The 15,661-nt window shown below is 35.9% G+C and overlaps 1 protein-coding gene across 4 annotated transcripts in view; it reads right to left on the bottom strand.

Annotated features, from left to right (window-relative positions):
• TOPAZ1 (testis and ovary specific TOPAZ 1) overlaps window positions 1-15,661 on the bottom strand; it is a 94,804-nt gene that overhangs the window by 29,276 nt on the left and 49,867 nt on the right. For 3 of the 4 annotated variants that reach the window (XM_011533694.3, NM_001145030.2, XM_017006361.2), the window contains exons 13-15: window positions 3,333-3,399; window positions 2,093-2,267; window positions 988-1,088 (exon numbers count right to left, since the gene is read on the bottom strand). In XM_011533694.3, the coding sequence (XP_011531996.1) occupies window positions 988-1,088; window positions 2,093-2,267; window positions 3,333-3,399 (343 nt within the window). The remainder of the gene's footprint in view (window positions 1-987; window positions 1,089-2,092; window positions 2,268-3,332; window positions 3,400-15,661) is intronic. The other variant, XM_017006362.1, reaches the window with a different exon arrangement.

The following is a 15,661-nucleotide window of genomic DNA, read 5'->3' as shown; positions in this document are numbered from 1 at the left end:
GGTATATAGTGTTCCAAGGTATTCTAAGAGGTGATTTTTATGAAGTTCTGTTAATTGTGAGTATTCTGAGTTCATCTTAAGAAATGTGTCTTGGCTGGGTATGGTGGCTCACACCTGTAATCCCAGCACTTTGGGAGGCTGAGGCGGGTGGATCAACTGAGACTGGGAGTTCGAGACCAGCCTGACCAACATGGAGAAACCCTGTCTCTACTAAAAATACAAAATTAGCCAGGCATGGTGATACATGCCTGTAATCCCAGCTACTTGGGAGGCTGAGGCAGGAGAATTGCTTGAACCTGGGAGGCGGAGGCTGTGGTGAGCCAAGATTGCAGTATTGCACTCCAGCCTGGGCAACAAGAGCGAAACTCCATCACAAAAACAAACAAACAAAAAAACCCCACAAACAAAGAAATGTGTCTTGGACTCTTCTAAAATTACAATATAACTGATACTCAGGTGTTGGCAAAATAATATGAATTGAAAGTTACTTCAAATAAATATGACATTTAGCATGGGTTCTTAACCCATTTATACCTAGTGTTACATTATTGGAACACTAAACTTATGGGAGTTATTTATATCCTACTGCTCAAGGTCATCACCAAGGTCTGATTTTTCACAAAAAACATTTGCAATCTCTGGCATAAATGGGTTAAGTGTTCTCTATACTGAGATTTTATTTATTTTTATAATAAAAATTATTTTTTAAAGATGGGAATCTGTCCACATTGCCCAGGCTGGCCTCGAACTCAGCTTCCTGAGTAGCTGGGACTATAGGTACATGCCACTGCATCCAGTTTGAGATTTTGAATAGTAGCCATTTGCTTAATATACCATCTAATAAATCACTCACTAGTCTGGGTCCCACTTTATCAATTGTAATGATTATTAGCAAACTCCTAATTTGCAGGGTTAACTTATATTCTGTTCATAATTTTAAAACTAGTAGTCTCTATACCAAGCCAAGACAAAAACTTAATGAAGTACCTTGGACCACTGCAACAGCTTGTGATAGAAGTACATAGCACTGATTCCAATTCTTCCCAGTACACCTTTATCTACTTTACTGTTTTGTGGATCTTTGCTAACTGAAACACAAATAGGCATACAAAAGAAAATAAAATAGTCACTTAAAATGATGGAAGAGGCAAACTAATACAGAATTATTGATACTACCATAAAGACCAGGTGTTGGCAAACTGTGCCCCGTTTTTGTATAGCCTAGGAGCCAACAATGGTTTTCCTGTTTTCAAAGCATCGTTTAAAAAGAAAATAAAACTATGTGATAGAGATCACATGTGGTGTGTTCGAAGCCTAAAATATTTACTATCCGGCTTTTTACAGAAAGTTTGCCAACCCCTGATAAAGGCTACAGTAGTAAAGAGCTCAGGTCAAAAACAAAACAAATTCAAAACTATATAGACTCTGTTGACTTGTAATAGTAAAGAGAGTAACAACTTAAATAATTCAAAAATTCAGGTGCTCCACTATAATTTGTTAGCAATAGTTTTACCAATCTGAGTGAAAAGAAAAATAAGAATGTGAAACGTTTGATACTAAAACACCAATTCTTGACCTTTTACCATAATCTAACAATAAATAGATGGAAAAATTCAGAAAGAGAAGGAAGAGTATCTAAAGCCTGCATTAATTTATCCACAACATGGAAAATATTCAAGGGTTTTACATTCTTTCTTTTTTTAATTTTTTTTTTAGTTTTACATTCTTGTTAAGAACACTGCCACTGGCCGAGCTGTGACTTATGTCTGTAATACCAGTGCTTTGAGAGGCTGAGGTGGGAGGATCCCTTGAGCACAAGAGTTCGAGACTAGCCTGGGCAATGAAGCAAGATTCTGTGTCTACAAAAAATAAAAAAATTAGCTGAGTGTAGTGATATGTGCCTGTAGTCCCAGCTACTTGGGAGGCTGAGGCAGGAGAAGTGCTTGAGCCCAGGAGTTCGAGGCTGCGGTGAGCTATGACCGCACCCCTGTACTCCAGCCTGGGTAACAAAGGAAGACCCTGTCTCTAAAAAACAAAAAAGAAAACTGCACCATCCTCATACACAATATTCAGGCCAATAGTTACATTTTACCTGTTTCAGCAAATTCACAAAAGGGAATATCTGGTCTTTCATCTTCATAGTTTTTTGTGAGTGTTTCAGCAATGCAAGCACAAAATGTCTGGAAATCTGCAAATTTTTCACAGCCCATTTTTACGTTAATGTATAATTTTCCCAATTTGGTCCAGTCACCTTTTTCTTTACAATGCTATCAAAATTATTAAAAACAAAACAAAAAAGAAAAAGAATGAAAACTATGTCATTTATGCAAACATGTCTTTAGGGCAAAGCATGTTTAGGCATTAGATATACATAAATTAATAAGACAAAATCTGCACATCTTATAAGCTTACCAACAAGTATCACATCAACAACACACTATTGTAACTTTGCTTTTCTGGCTATAGTAAAGCCTCTATAAATTCCAAATAACAATGCACATTTGTTTTAATTATCCAGGTCTTAAAGTATTTAACTGTATTCACCCCCAAAACTGAACCTGACAGTGGAGATGGATTTTACGGAAAACATGATGAGCAGCATAATTTGAACTGTCTCCATGGCAATGCATTATTTTACTACTTTTAGAAAGTACATTTTAATGTTATCTGGCCATTTATAATTTGGGCCCACATATCGTTTTGGACACTACGTTCTACAAAAGTGGCCACAAAGTAAATTTCAATCAACTTATTATCTTTCTACAATTTCTGTTATAAACTAAAGAAGTTGTTCACATCAAGAAAAAAAGTTGTCTTAAGAATATAAAAGTACTAATTAAAACCAGAGCAACAATTACTACATGAATACAAAAATGATATTAAATTTAAAAGTAAAAATCATCCTGAAGGTCCTCATTTCTTATACTCTAAATGGTTGGAGAGTTCAGTGTGACCTGGGCTTTCTCCCACCATTTCATGTACTGTAGCCATCCATGACAAGTACCTCAGCTTTCTTATGCACTGAGCGAGTCTGCCCAGTCTCAAAACTTAAAGACTAAGCTTCGAATTGTTATTTTACTTTAATATAATTTTGAAACTGAACAATTTTTAGAATTATTTTTAGTACAGTCCACAACTCTAGAAATTAAAACGTTTGCCTTTCAAAATATTAACTTGTAAGAAAAACAAAACTTCCTTTCCTTGAGCATTTTCTCTGTATAACAGCCACATTTCTAAAACTTTTCATAAAATGGGGTTATTATTCAAACCTTTTTTGTTGCTATTGATTTTCAGAGATCCCAGCAATGTATTTAAAATAATAAATGTCATACCTCTAATTTATTCAAGGCTGAATCTAAATCACACTTCCAGTTCTTTTTAAATCGTCTCATCTGTAACCTTTAACAAAAGAAAAGAGTTAATTATACTATATTCACCCCTTAAAAGTCACTGCTGCTTCTAATTAATCTGTCCTATGGTTTATAAGAAACCAGAAGAAAAAATGAATGTATATAATATGCTATAAACATTCTTCAGAGCTGAAAAAAAGGCAGCTATATAGACACCTACTTTATACTATTTCCTCCCCAAAACAATAAGAAGGAAAAAGCAAATTCCACATGAAATCATACCTTCAGCCTAACTTGTAGACAGAGGATGTCAAAACTTCAAAAATAACTGTGACTAAAAGGAGAAAAAAAATACCAAATCCTGGCACATGATCTCTACTGCTCCTACCCTACCCTTACTGCTCCACAGGATTTGTGGCAATCAAAGACCAAAACAAAAACAGAGCAAGTAAACACACAAAACCTGATGGGGAGAATTGAAGAGGGAAACTAGCAGAAAGAGCTAACATTGATTTAAAAATACTGCTGCAAAGACTAAGTCCACATTAAGTTTGAAAATGCTAAAAAAAAAAAAAAAAAAAAAAGCAAGCAAGCATCTGGGTAGATCAGAACCACAAGGAAGGATCTTAAAAGTCTGTGATTTAAAGAAGGCAATTTTTGAAATGCATAGTTTTTGGAAAAGAAAAAAAGACAAAAATGAAAGAAACACCCTTTGGCAATCAGAAGAAAATTTAAAAAAAGGCAGCTGGAATAAGAAGGTGTCATTGAACTAGTATTATGTAATACCTAACTATGAGTTCACCAATTTTGGTAATTCATCTAGAGCATTAAGAAGGAAGAACATACTGTCACATTTGGGATTAAGAAAAAAAAACAATTTTCTAACTCCTTTTATGAAGCAAGTATAACTGATATTTAAACTAGATAGACAGCCTGTGTGAGGTGGCTCACACCAGAAATTTCAGCACTCTGGAAGGCCGAGTTGGGCAGATCCATTGAGCTCAGGAGTTTGAGACCAGCCTGGTTAATATGGTGAATCCTACCTCTGCAAAAATTAGCTGGGTGTGGTGGCATGCACCTGTAGTACCAGCTACGTGGGAGACTGAGGTGGGAGGATCACCTGAGCCCAGGAGGTCCAGGCTGCAGTGAGCTGTAATTGCACTACTGCACCCCAGCCCGGGAAACAGAGCAAGATCCTGTCTCAATCCATCAACACACAAACAAAAAACAATAGCTTTTATAAATACAAAAAAACCACATAATAATACAGAAAACCTCATTCACAATAGCACCCAAAATATTAAGTACTTATACAAAGAAAATTATAAAACACTCCTGAAAGACACATTACTACTACACGGAGTTAGGAAGTTGATACTAAATATATGGAGAAGCGTACATCCAAGAAGATCCAGGAAAACACTGAAAAACTATGAAAAAGAATTATCCCTACCAAAAATTAAAACATACTATTAAAGCTTCTACAGTTACTATAGTGTGGTTCCAGTGCAGGAATAGGCAAACAGTCCAGTGGAATAAAATACAAAGTCAAGAAACAGACCCCATTGTATATGAAATTTAGTATACGATGAAGGTGGCATCTCAAATCACTGGAGGTAAAGATGGACATTTTATTTTACCATTATTATTTTCTGAGATGGAGTCTTGCTCTGTCACCCAGGCTGGAGTGCAGTGGTGCTATCTCGGCTCACTGCAAGCTCCGCCTTCTGGGTTCACGCCATTCTCCTACCTCAGCCTCCCGAGAAGCTGGGACTACAGGTGCCCGCCACCACACCCGGCTAGTTTTTTGTATTTTTAGTAGAGACGGGGCTTCACCATGTTAGCCAGAATGGTCTCTATCTCCTGACCTCGTGATCTGCCCACCTCGGCCTCCCAAAGTGCTGGGATTACAGGTGTGAGCCACCACGCCCAGCCAAGATGGATATTTTAATACATGTTGTTGGAAAAGTTGTATAATCATTTGGAAAAGATAAAACTGAATCCATTTCACATAACATACCTAAGAGAAAAAACTCCACGTAGATTAAAAACCTAACTGTAAAAATGAAGTCATACAAATAGTAAAAGAAAACGTGCCAGTTTGCCTAAAACCTTCATGTAGAGAAATGATGACTCAAAACCACATGCAATAAAACATAACCTTGACTCAAAACTGAGAAAAAAGATTGAAATATAAGGTTGCATAAAAATAAAACTTTTTGCATGGTAAAAAACACCAGAAGGTCAAAAGACAACTGACAAACTGGAAGAAAAATTGCAATATATACTAATATATACTACAAAGGCCTAATACCTGTAATATATCAAGAACTCTAAAAGTTTAAGAACCAAAAAACCAAAACCTAATAGAAAAAGGGGAAAAAGAGTGAAGAGTTCACATAAAACATGTAAAAATAGCCCTCAAATATACGAACAGAAAATGCTCAAATTCATTCATGAGAGAAATGCAAACTAAAACACCATTTGTCATCTAATAGATTGGCAAACATTGAAAAACATTCTAACACATTATGTTAGAAAGCTAGGCTGAAATAGGCAGTCTCATATTTCTGATGGGAACACAAATGGGTACAAGTATTCTGGAGGAAAATTTGGCAATACCTAACAAAAGTTATATATACTTATCTTTAAAAGTTATAAGTTATATACTTATCTTCACAATTTTTTGACTTTTAAATAAGCTCACAGGAATTTCCAAAAATAGTACACTGTGCACTCTTCACCCAGCTTTTTCCAATAGTGACATCTTATATACCACCAGGAAACTGACACTGGTACAATATTGTTAACTACAGGCCTTATTCAGTTTTTATCAATTTTTACATGTATTTGTGTGTGTGTATGTAACTGCAACTGTTCCATTTCTACAAAGGAACTTTCTCATGATACCCTTTTATACTCATCCCCTCTCCACTGTCCCTGTCCCCTGGCAACCACTAATCAGTTCTCCATTTCTTAGTTTTGTTATCTCGGGAATATTACATAAATGAAATGTATGCACTGTGTAGCATGTAGCCTTTTGAGATTAGCTTTTAAAATTCAACACAATTCCCTTGAGATCAATCCAATTTGTTGCACATTTCATAGTTTCTCCCTCTTTTTCCTGAATAGTATGCCATGGTATGTACCACAGTTTAACTATAACTACTCATTCACCTATTGAAGGGTATCTGAGTTTTTTTTTTTTTTTCCAGTTTCTGGTTATTACAATTAAAGCTGCTAAGAACATTTACGTGTAAGTTTTTATGTGACCAAAAGTTTTCATTTCTCTAGGATAAATGCCCAGGAGTTCAACAGCTGCCTTTGGGATGTGCATGTTTAGTTTGTAGAGAAACTGTCAAACTGCTTTTCAGAGTGGCTGTACCATTTTATATTCTCACTAACAGCATATGATCCAGTTTATCCACACTCTCCCCAGCATTTGGTGTTAACAATATTTAAAAAAAAATTCTGTTATTCTGATAGGTGTGTGGTGATATCTCATATAGTTTTATTTTACATTTCTCTTATGGCTAACAATGTTGAACTTATTTTCATGTGCTTAGTTGCCATCTGCATATCCTCATTGGTGAAACATGTTTATGTCTTTAGCCCATTTTCTTTTCTTTCTTTTTTTTTAAGACGTCTCACTCTGTCGCCCAAGCTGGAGTGCAGTGGCACGATCTCAGTTCACTACAACCTGGGTTCAAGTGATTCTCTTGGAGCCTCAGCCTCCTGAGTAGCTGGGACTACAGGCATGTACCACCATGCCTGGGTAATTTTTGTTATTTTTAGTAGAGATGGGGTTTTACCATGTTGGCCAGGCTGGTCTCAAACTCCTGACCTCAAGTGATCTGCCCACCTCGGCCTCCCAAAGTGCTGGGATTACAGATGTAAGCCATGGCACCCAGCTCTCATTTTCTTTTTTTTTATTTTTTATTTATTTATTTATTTTATTATTATTATACTTTAAGTTTTAGGGTACATGTGCACAATGTGCAGGTTAGTTACATATGTATACATGTGCCATGCTGGTGTGCTGCACCCATTAACTCATCATTTAGCATTAGGTATATCTCCTAAAGCTATTGCTTCCCCCTCCCCCCACCCCACAACAGTCCCCAGAGTGTGATGTTCCTCTTCCTGTGTCCATGTGTTCTCATTGTTCAATTCCCACCTATGAGTGAGAATATGCGGTGTTTGGTTTTTTGTTCTTGCGATAGTTTACTGAGAATGATGATTTCCAATTTCATCCATGTCCCTACAAAGGACATGAACTCATCATTTTTTATGGCTGCATAGTATTCCATGGTGTATATGTGCCACATTTTCTTAATCCAGTCTATCATTGTTGGACATTTGGGTTGGTTCCAAGTCTTTGCTATTGTGAATAGTGCCGCAATAAACATACATGTGCTTGTGTCTTTATAGCAGCATGATTTGTAGTCCTTTCGGTATATACCCAGTAATGGGATGGCTGGGTCAAATGGTATTTCTAGTTCTAGATCCCTGAGGAATCGCCACACTGACTTCCACAATGGTTGAACTAGTTTACTGTCCCACCAACAGTGTAAAAGTGTTCCTATTTCTCCACATCCTCTCCAGCACCTGTTGTTTCCTGACTTTTTAATGATTGCCATTCTAACTGGTGTGAGATGGTATCTCATTGTGGTTTTGATTTGCATTTCTCTGAAAGCCAGTGATGGTGAGCATTTTTTCATGTGTTTTTTGGCTGCATAAATGTCTTCTTTTGAGACGTGTCTGTTCATGTCCAGCTCCCATTTTCTAACAGTATCATTTGTTTGTTTACTATTGAATTTTGAGACTTTCAAAATATATTCTCAGCTGGGCACGGTGGCTCATGCCTGTAATCTCAGCACTTTGGGAGGCCGAGGTGGGTGAATCACGAGGTCAGCAGTTTGAGATCAGCCTGGCCAACATGGTGAAACCCAGTCTCTACTAAAAATACAAAAATCAGCCAGGCATGGTGGCACGCATCTGTAATCCCAGCTACTTGGGAGGCTGAGGCAGGAGAATCACTTGAACCCAGGAGGCGGAGGTTGCAGTGAGCTGAGATTGTGCCACTGCACTCCAGCCTGTGTGACAGAGCAAGACTCTATCTCAGGGGGAAAAAAAAAAAAAAAAAAAAAAAAATATATATATATATATATAATATATATACATAAAATATATATTATACAAATATATTATATAATATATATAAACATATATATATAGGTTTCCAAATTTTCCCCTATTTTTTCCTAAAAGTTTTTTTGTTTAAATTCATGATTCATTTTGAATTAATTTTTGTATAAGGTGTCGGGTTTGGGTCAAAGTTTTTGTTTTTTTACTATGGCTGTTCAATTGCTCCAGCATCATTTGTTTAAAAACTAGCTTTCTTCCATAAAATTGCTTTTGTACCTTATAAAATCAATTGAACATATTAGTAGTGGTTTATTCCTGGATTCCCTCTGTTCCTTTGACCTATGTCTCTCTCCCTCCATCCAATAACATACTTTCTTAATTACTTGATTACTGTTAGTAAGTCTTAACATTAAGTAGAGTGAATCCTTTTACTTTACCCTATTCTTGTTTTCTTTTTTGAGACAGGGTCTCTATCTGTCACCCAGGCTGGAGTGCAGTGGTGCAATCACGGCTCATTGCAGCCTCTACCTCTGGGGCTCAAGTGATCCTCCCACAGCTACAAGTCCCAGTTAGCTGGGACTACAGGTGCGTGACATCATGCCCAGCTAATTTTTTGTAGAGATGGGGTTTCACCACGTTGCCCAGGCTGGCCTCGAACTCCTGGGCTTAAGTAATCTGCCTGCCTCTCCCTCCCAAAGTATTGTGATTACAGGTGTGAGCCACTGCACCCAGCCTATTCTTTTTTAAAAGTTGTCTTAGCTATTCTAGTCCTTTTACCTTTGCACATAAATTTTAGAATATACGTTTTTATACCTACAAAAAAATCTTGCCAGAGGGATTCTGATAGGAATTGAGTTAAACCAATGGATGAAATTTTGAAGCATTGACACCTTTATTAAGTCTCCCAACCCATGAATGTAGTATCTCTATTTATTTAATCTTTCAATTTCTTTTATCAGCATTTTGTAACTTCCAACATACAAGTTTAGCATGTGTTCAGTCAGATTTTTACTAATTTTTGTTTTTAGCCATTGTAAATTATATTGTTTTAAATGCTGGTTTCCCCAGTTCGTTTTCAGTATATAGAAATATGGTTGATTTTTGTGTTGATTTTTGTGCTGCAACCTTGCTGCACTCCTTAGTTCTAGGAGAGTGTTTTTTTTTTAAATTTTGGTACATTCCTTGGCATATATGCAGAAAATGTCATCTGCAAATACGGACAGTTTTATTTCTTCACTTCCAATCTGTATGCTAGCTATTTCCATTTCTTGCCTTACACTGGCTAAGATTTATCATAGTATGTTGAATAAGAGTGGTATCAGTGAACATCCTTGCCATGTTCCCAGTCTTAGGAAGAAGCATCCAGTCTTTCATCTAAATATAATATTTGCTGTAGGTTTCTTACAGATACTGTTTGTGAAGTTAAAGAATTTCTTCCTTTATTCATAATTTGCTGACTTTTAAAAATAATGCATGGATATTGAATTTTGTCAAATGCTTTTCTGTATTAATTGAATAATCATGTGGTTTTTCTTCTTATGTTGTAGATATGATGAATTACATTGATTTTCAAATATTGAACCATCTTTTCATTCTTGAAATAAACCCTGTTTGATAATGGTGTATAATTCTTTTTACAAATTCCTGGATTCAATATGGTAGTATTTTATTGATAATTTCTGCATCAAAGCTCAGGAGAGATAATACTAATTTGTAATTTTCTTTTCTTTTTTCTTTTTTTTTTTTGAGACAGACTTTCACTCGTTGTCCAGGCTGGAGTGCAATGGTTCAATCTCGGCTCACTGTAACCTCCGCCTCCTGGGTTCAAGTGATTCTCCTGCCTTAGCCTATCAAGTAGCTGGGATTACAGGCATGTGCCACCATGCCCAGCTAATTTTGTATTTTTAGTAGAGACGGGGTTTCACCATGTTAGTCAGGTTGGTCTTAAACTCCTGACCTCAGGTGATCCACCCACCTCGGCCTCTCAAAGTGCTGAGATTACAGGTGTGAGCCACCATGCCCGGCCGTAATTTGCTTTTCTTTTTTTTTTCTTTTTTTTTTTTTTTTTGGTATTCTCTGTGTCTGGTTTTGGAGGCTGGGTAACACTGGTATCAAAATATGCTGGTAAATGTTCCCTCATGTTTTCTGCAAGAGATCGTGTAAATCCATGCTGATTCTTCTTTGAATGACTGGTAGAATCGTCCAATGAAACTATCTGGCCCTTGAAATGTCTTTTTTGGAAGCTTTTAAATGATGGATTAAATTTCTTCCATAGTTGTAACACTATTTAGATGATCTAGTTCATATTGCATCAACTTTGTTTTTTTTTGTGGTTTTTAAGGACTTGCTCCTTTTCATCTATGTTGCTGAGTTTATGTCAAGTTGTTCAAGGCAATCCCTTATGATCGCTTTAATGGCTGCAGTAACTGTACTGATAACCCTGGTCTCATTCCTGGTATCGATAATTCATGTCTTCATGTCTGCTTTTTTTTTTAGTCTTGCTAGAGGCTTGTTAATTTTATTGATCTTTTCAAACAAACAGCTTTTTGTTTCATTGATTTACTTTTTGTTTTCAGCTTCATTGATTCATATTCTTAGCTTTATTGCCTTTCTTATGCTTACTTTGAGTTTATTTTGCTCTTATTTTTCCTTGTTTTGTGAGGTGGGAGCTTAGAATATTGTGTAATGGATTTTCCTCTCAGGATTGCTTTAACTGCATCCCCAAGTTGTGACATATTTTCATTTTTATTCAGTTCTAACAGTTCACTTAGTTTTGAAACTTTCTCTTCACACGTGGATTATAGAGAAATGTGTTGTTTAATTTCCAAGTGTTTGGAGATTTTCCTATTATACCTCCATTGTTGATTTCCAGTTTGATTCCATTACAGTCAAATAATGTACTCTGTATAGTTTTAATTGTTTTAAATTTTTTGAGGTTTATGATCCAGGATATGGTCTACCTTGGTGAATATTCCATAGATGCTTGAAAAGAATATGTATTCTGCTGTTTTGGGGTACAGTGTTCTATAAATGTCTATTAAACCCTGTTGATTGATGGAGGTGTTTAGTTCTATATCTTTGCTGATTTCCCAGTATTTCTATCAATTATTGAGAGAGGGATATTGAAGTCCCCAACTATAATTATAGAATTGTCCATTTCTCCTTTCAATTCAATAATTTTGTTTCATGTATTCTGAAGCTGTTTTTTGGTGCATATACTTTATAATTGCTATGTCTTCTTGGCATATTGATCATCTTATTATGTAGTGTCCCTCTTTGTACCTGTAGTTTTCCTTGCTCTAAAGTCTATTTAATTCGTTATTCATATAATCACTCATGCTCCTTTTAAAACTAATGTTTGCATGGCATATTGTTTCAACTACCTATATCCTTACAATGAAAGTTAATTTCTTGTCAGGGGCATATAGTTATACTTTTATATATATTCTGCCAACTGCAATCCTTTAATTAGTGTATTTATAACATTTACACAAACAGTATATGGATATCACTCTAAATAAATTCATAGAGAAATTCTTCATTTTTTAATGGCTGCAAAGTACTTCATTGTGTGAATATACTATATTATTCATCTACTGTATTGGTATTTAGATTGTTCCTAATATTTTGCAAGTATAAACAATGCTGCAATGAATAACCTTGGGTGTGCATATGTTTGTATTGATAGAGGTGTGTTTTCAGGGTACATTTGTAGAATTGGGATTGCTGAGTCAAAAGGTAAGTGCATTAGAGCAACAACTAAAAAATATATATCTACAAAGAGAGATACTCAAAAACTACAGTTAATCAGAATGGAATTCTAAAAAACGTTCAAGTAATCCCCACAGGAATATAGAAAAAGGTAAACAGGAGATAAACAAAAAGTAACTAATAAAGTTGCAGACTTAAGCTCCAACATTTCAATACCCACTTTAAATGTGAAAGTTTTAAAATAATCACTGAATGTTAAGAAATTTCCTAAGTTATAGGCACATATAAATTGTCACTAATGTCCTGAATATAAATGTTAAAATTCTTTCTAGCAGCCTTATCTTCTGTGAAAGTCTTTCAAATGAACTGTAAACTAGCTAATTAAAAATATAATCAAAATCAAAATATAAATGTGCATTAAAATTCATTTGACTATTTTGGGATGCTGAAGCAGGCAGATCACTTGAGCCCAGGAGTTCGAGACCAGACTGGGCAACATGTTGAAATCCTACCTCTGAAAAAAATACAAAAAAATATAGCTAGGGCACAATGGCACGTGCCTGTAGTCCCAGAGGGTTGGGAAGCTAAGGTAGGAGAATTTCTTGAGCCCAAGAGGTTGAGGCTGCAGTGAGCCATGAGCCATGATTGCACCACTGCACTCCAGCTTGGGAGACAGAGGGAGATACTGTCTCAAAGAAAAAAAAATAATTGCCTAGTGCAGAATAGGGTGATTATTTCAAAGAGTCAAGAAAATTCAAGTATAAAATAACATACTACTTTTTTTTCTTTTGCCTTGGAGCTGGGTTCACATGCTCAGTTATGATCTAAACTCCTTAACTATCCAGTTATTATCCTACTCTCTCAAAACTCTCTCCATCATCAAATAGGTCACCAACGTTAGTACCTCTTAAAGAATACTATATACAGTCATGCGTCGTTTGATGGCTATATGTCTTTTTTTTTTTGAGACAGAGTCTTGCTCTGTTGTCCAGAATGGAGTGCAGTGGCACGATCTTGGCTCACTGCCACCTCTGCTTTCCAGATTCAAGCAATTCTCCCACCTCAGCCTCCTGAGTAGCTGGGATTACAGGCGTGCACCACTACAACTGGCTGATTTTTCTATTTTTTGTAGAGATGAGGTTTCACATGTTGGCCAGGCTAGTCTCAAACTCCCAACCTCAGGTGATCCACCTGCCTCAGCCTCCCAAAGTACTGGGATTACAGGCATGAGCCACTGTACCCGGCTGGGGATATGTTCTCAGAAATGTGTCTTTATGTGATTTTATCTTTGTGTAATCATCATAAGGGTGTACTTACACAAACCTAGATGGTACAGCCTACTAATCACCTAGGCTATATGATATAGCCTATTGTTCCTAGGCTACCAACCTGCAAAGCATGTTATTGTACTGAATACTGTAGGCAACTGTAACACAAACTGTAGACTTTACAAATACTATATACTTAGGCTACACTTAATTTAGAAAAAAAGTTTCTCTTTCTTCAATATTAATTTTAACTTACTGTAACTTTACAAACTTTTTGACTCTTTTGTAACAACACCCAGCTTAAAACAGAAACACACTGTATATCTGTACAAAAGCATGTTCTCTATATCCTTATTCTATAAACTTTTTTCTATTTTTGAAAATTTTTATTTTTATCTTTTTACTTTGTAAACTGTTTTGTTAAAAACTAAGACACAAATACATGCATTAGCCTAGGCCTACAGAGAACAAGGATGATCAATATCACTGTCTTCCACCTCCACATCTTGTCTCCCTGGAAGGTCTATGGGTCAATCACAAGTATGGAGCTGTCATCTCCTATGACAATAATGCCTACTTCTGGAATACCTTCTGGAGGACCTGCCTGAATCTGTTTTACACTTAACTTTAAAAAAATATAAGTAGGAGTACACTCTAAAATAATAATAAAGTACAGTAAATACATAGACCAGTAACACTAATTTATTATCATTATCAAATGTTATGTACTGTACATAGTTGTATGTGCTATACTTTTATATGACTGGCAGCGCAGTAAGTTTGTTTACACTAGTATCACCACAAACATATGAGTAGTGCATTGTGCTCTGACATTATAACAGCTAAGATGTCACTAGGAGATAGGAATTTTTCAGCTCCATTATAATTTTATGGGATCACCATGGTATATGTGGTCCATCATTAACCAAAACATTATTATGGGGCACATAACTGTAATGGTTTGAAGTGGGAGCACAGAAAGGGGCAGAGGGTATAAAGATACAGTTTTCAAAGTTATATACTGTAAAATAGACTAAGAATATTCATGATTGTGTTGCTTGTGTTTGAAAGCACAATAGGGCAACTACAGTTAACAGAAATGTATAGCATATTTCAAATAACCAGAAGAGAAGCTCTGGAATGTCCCTAATACAAAGAAATGATAAATGTTTGAGGTGATGAATATCCCAGTTACCCTGATTTGATCATTATACATCGTATACATGTATCGTTAAAACTCATGTACTCTGTAAACATATACAACTATTACACATCAATAAAAAAAGTGAAAAGCTGGATTGTTCTGGGGTCTTCCTATATACTAACAGGATCTGCTGTCAATCATTGCATGAAGGGTGAAGTTCAGTAGCTATTCAGGGCACCAGATACTGCTATTCTCTTGAGCCTTGATGCATACACTTTCCCTGTGCTAACTGCTACTGAATCTGGTGCGAGATTAACATCTGTTAGTCATGTGAGCTCTCTGCCATAGCTGCCACTGCCCAAAATGGGAAAAGTTTTTCACATATCGCTCTGGGGAAGAATGAACTCAATGATTGGAAGACAACATCAATGCACCCTACTTAAAAACAAATTAGACTCCAGAACTACATGCTGGATGAATTATACTTTCCTTACAAAAATTTGTTTCCTAGGTAGTCCCCAAAATCTATTTAGCCTAAACAGTGTTACAATTTTCATGGAAAACATGAATATTGTTAATTATCAGTAATTAAATTAAAAAATCATAGAACTTGGAAAACTCAAATTAATTTCAATGTTAGTGATTGAAGGGAAGAAGTACTATTTAGAGCTGCAATTCTTTTAACTGTACCGAGGCATCTAGGGCACAATGGCAAACTCCCCAGGACACCATAGGTTAGTTTAAGCTTGTTAAATAAGCCTATGTTAAGGCTGACACCTGTCAGACACTGAACAAATGACTACTATTAACTTGTTTGGACCTAACTAGTTAATAAATGGGACAGTTAACATCTTTCTTTTGGCCTAGGGACACAGAACCAAGAAAGTTTGGGAACCTCTGCATTAGAAGATAATGAGAAATGAGATAAAAATAGCGATGGAAGCTCCATATTGGAGATTTCTGGGCATTCTGAAGGATTTCAGTAGTTGATTTGCTCTTTATCAAATCTAATTACATTTAAAAAGTTATGATTCATTTAA

Source organism: Homo sapiens, chromosome 3 (assembly GCF_000001405.40).
Source record: "Homo sapiens chromosome 3, GRCh38.p14 Primary Assembly".
NCBI classification, from domain to species: Eukaryota; Metazoa; Chordata; class Mammalia; order Primates; family Hominidae; genus Homo; species Homo sapiens.
This window is presented reverse-complemented; position numbering and strand designations above follow the sequence as displayed.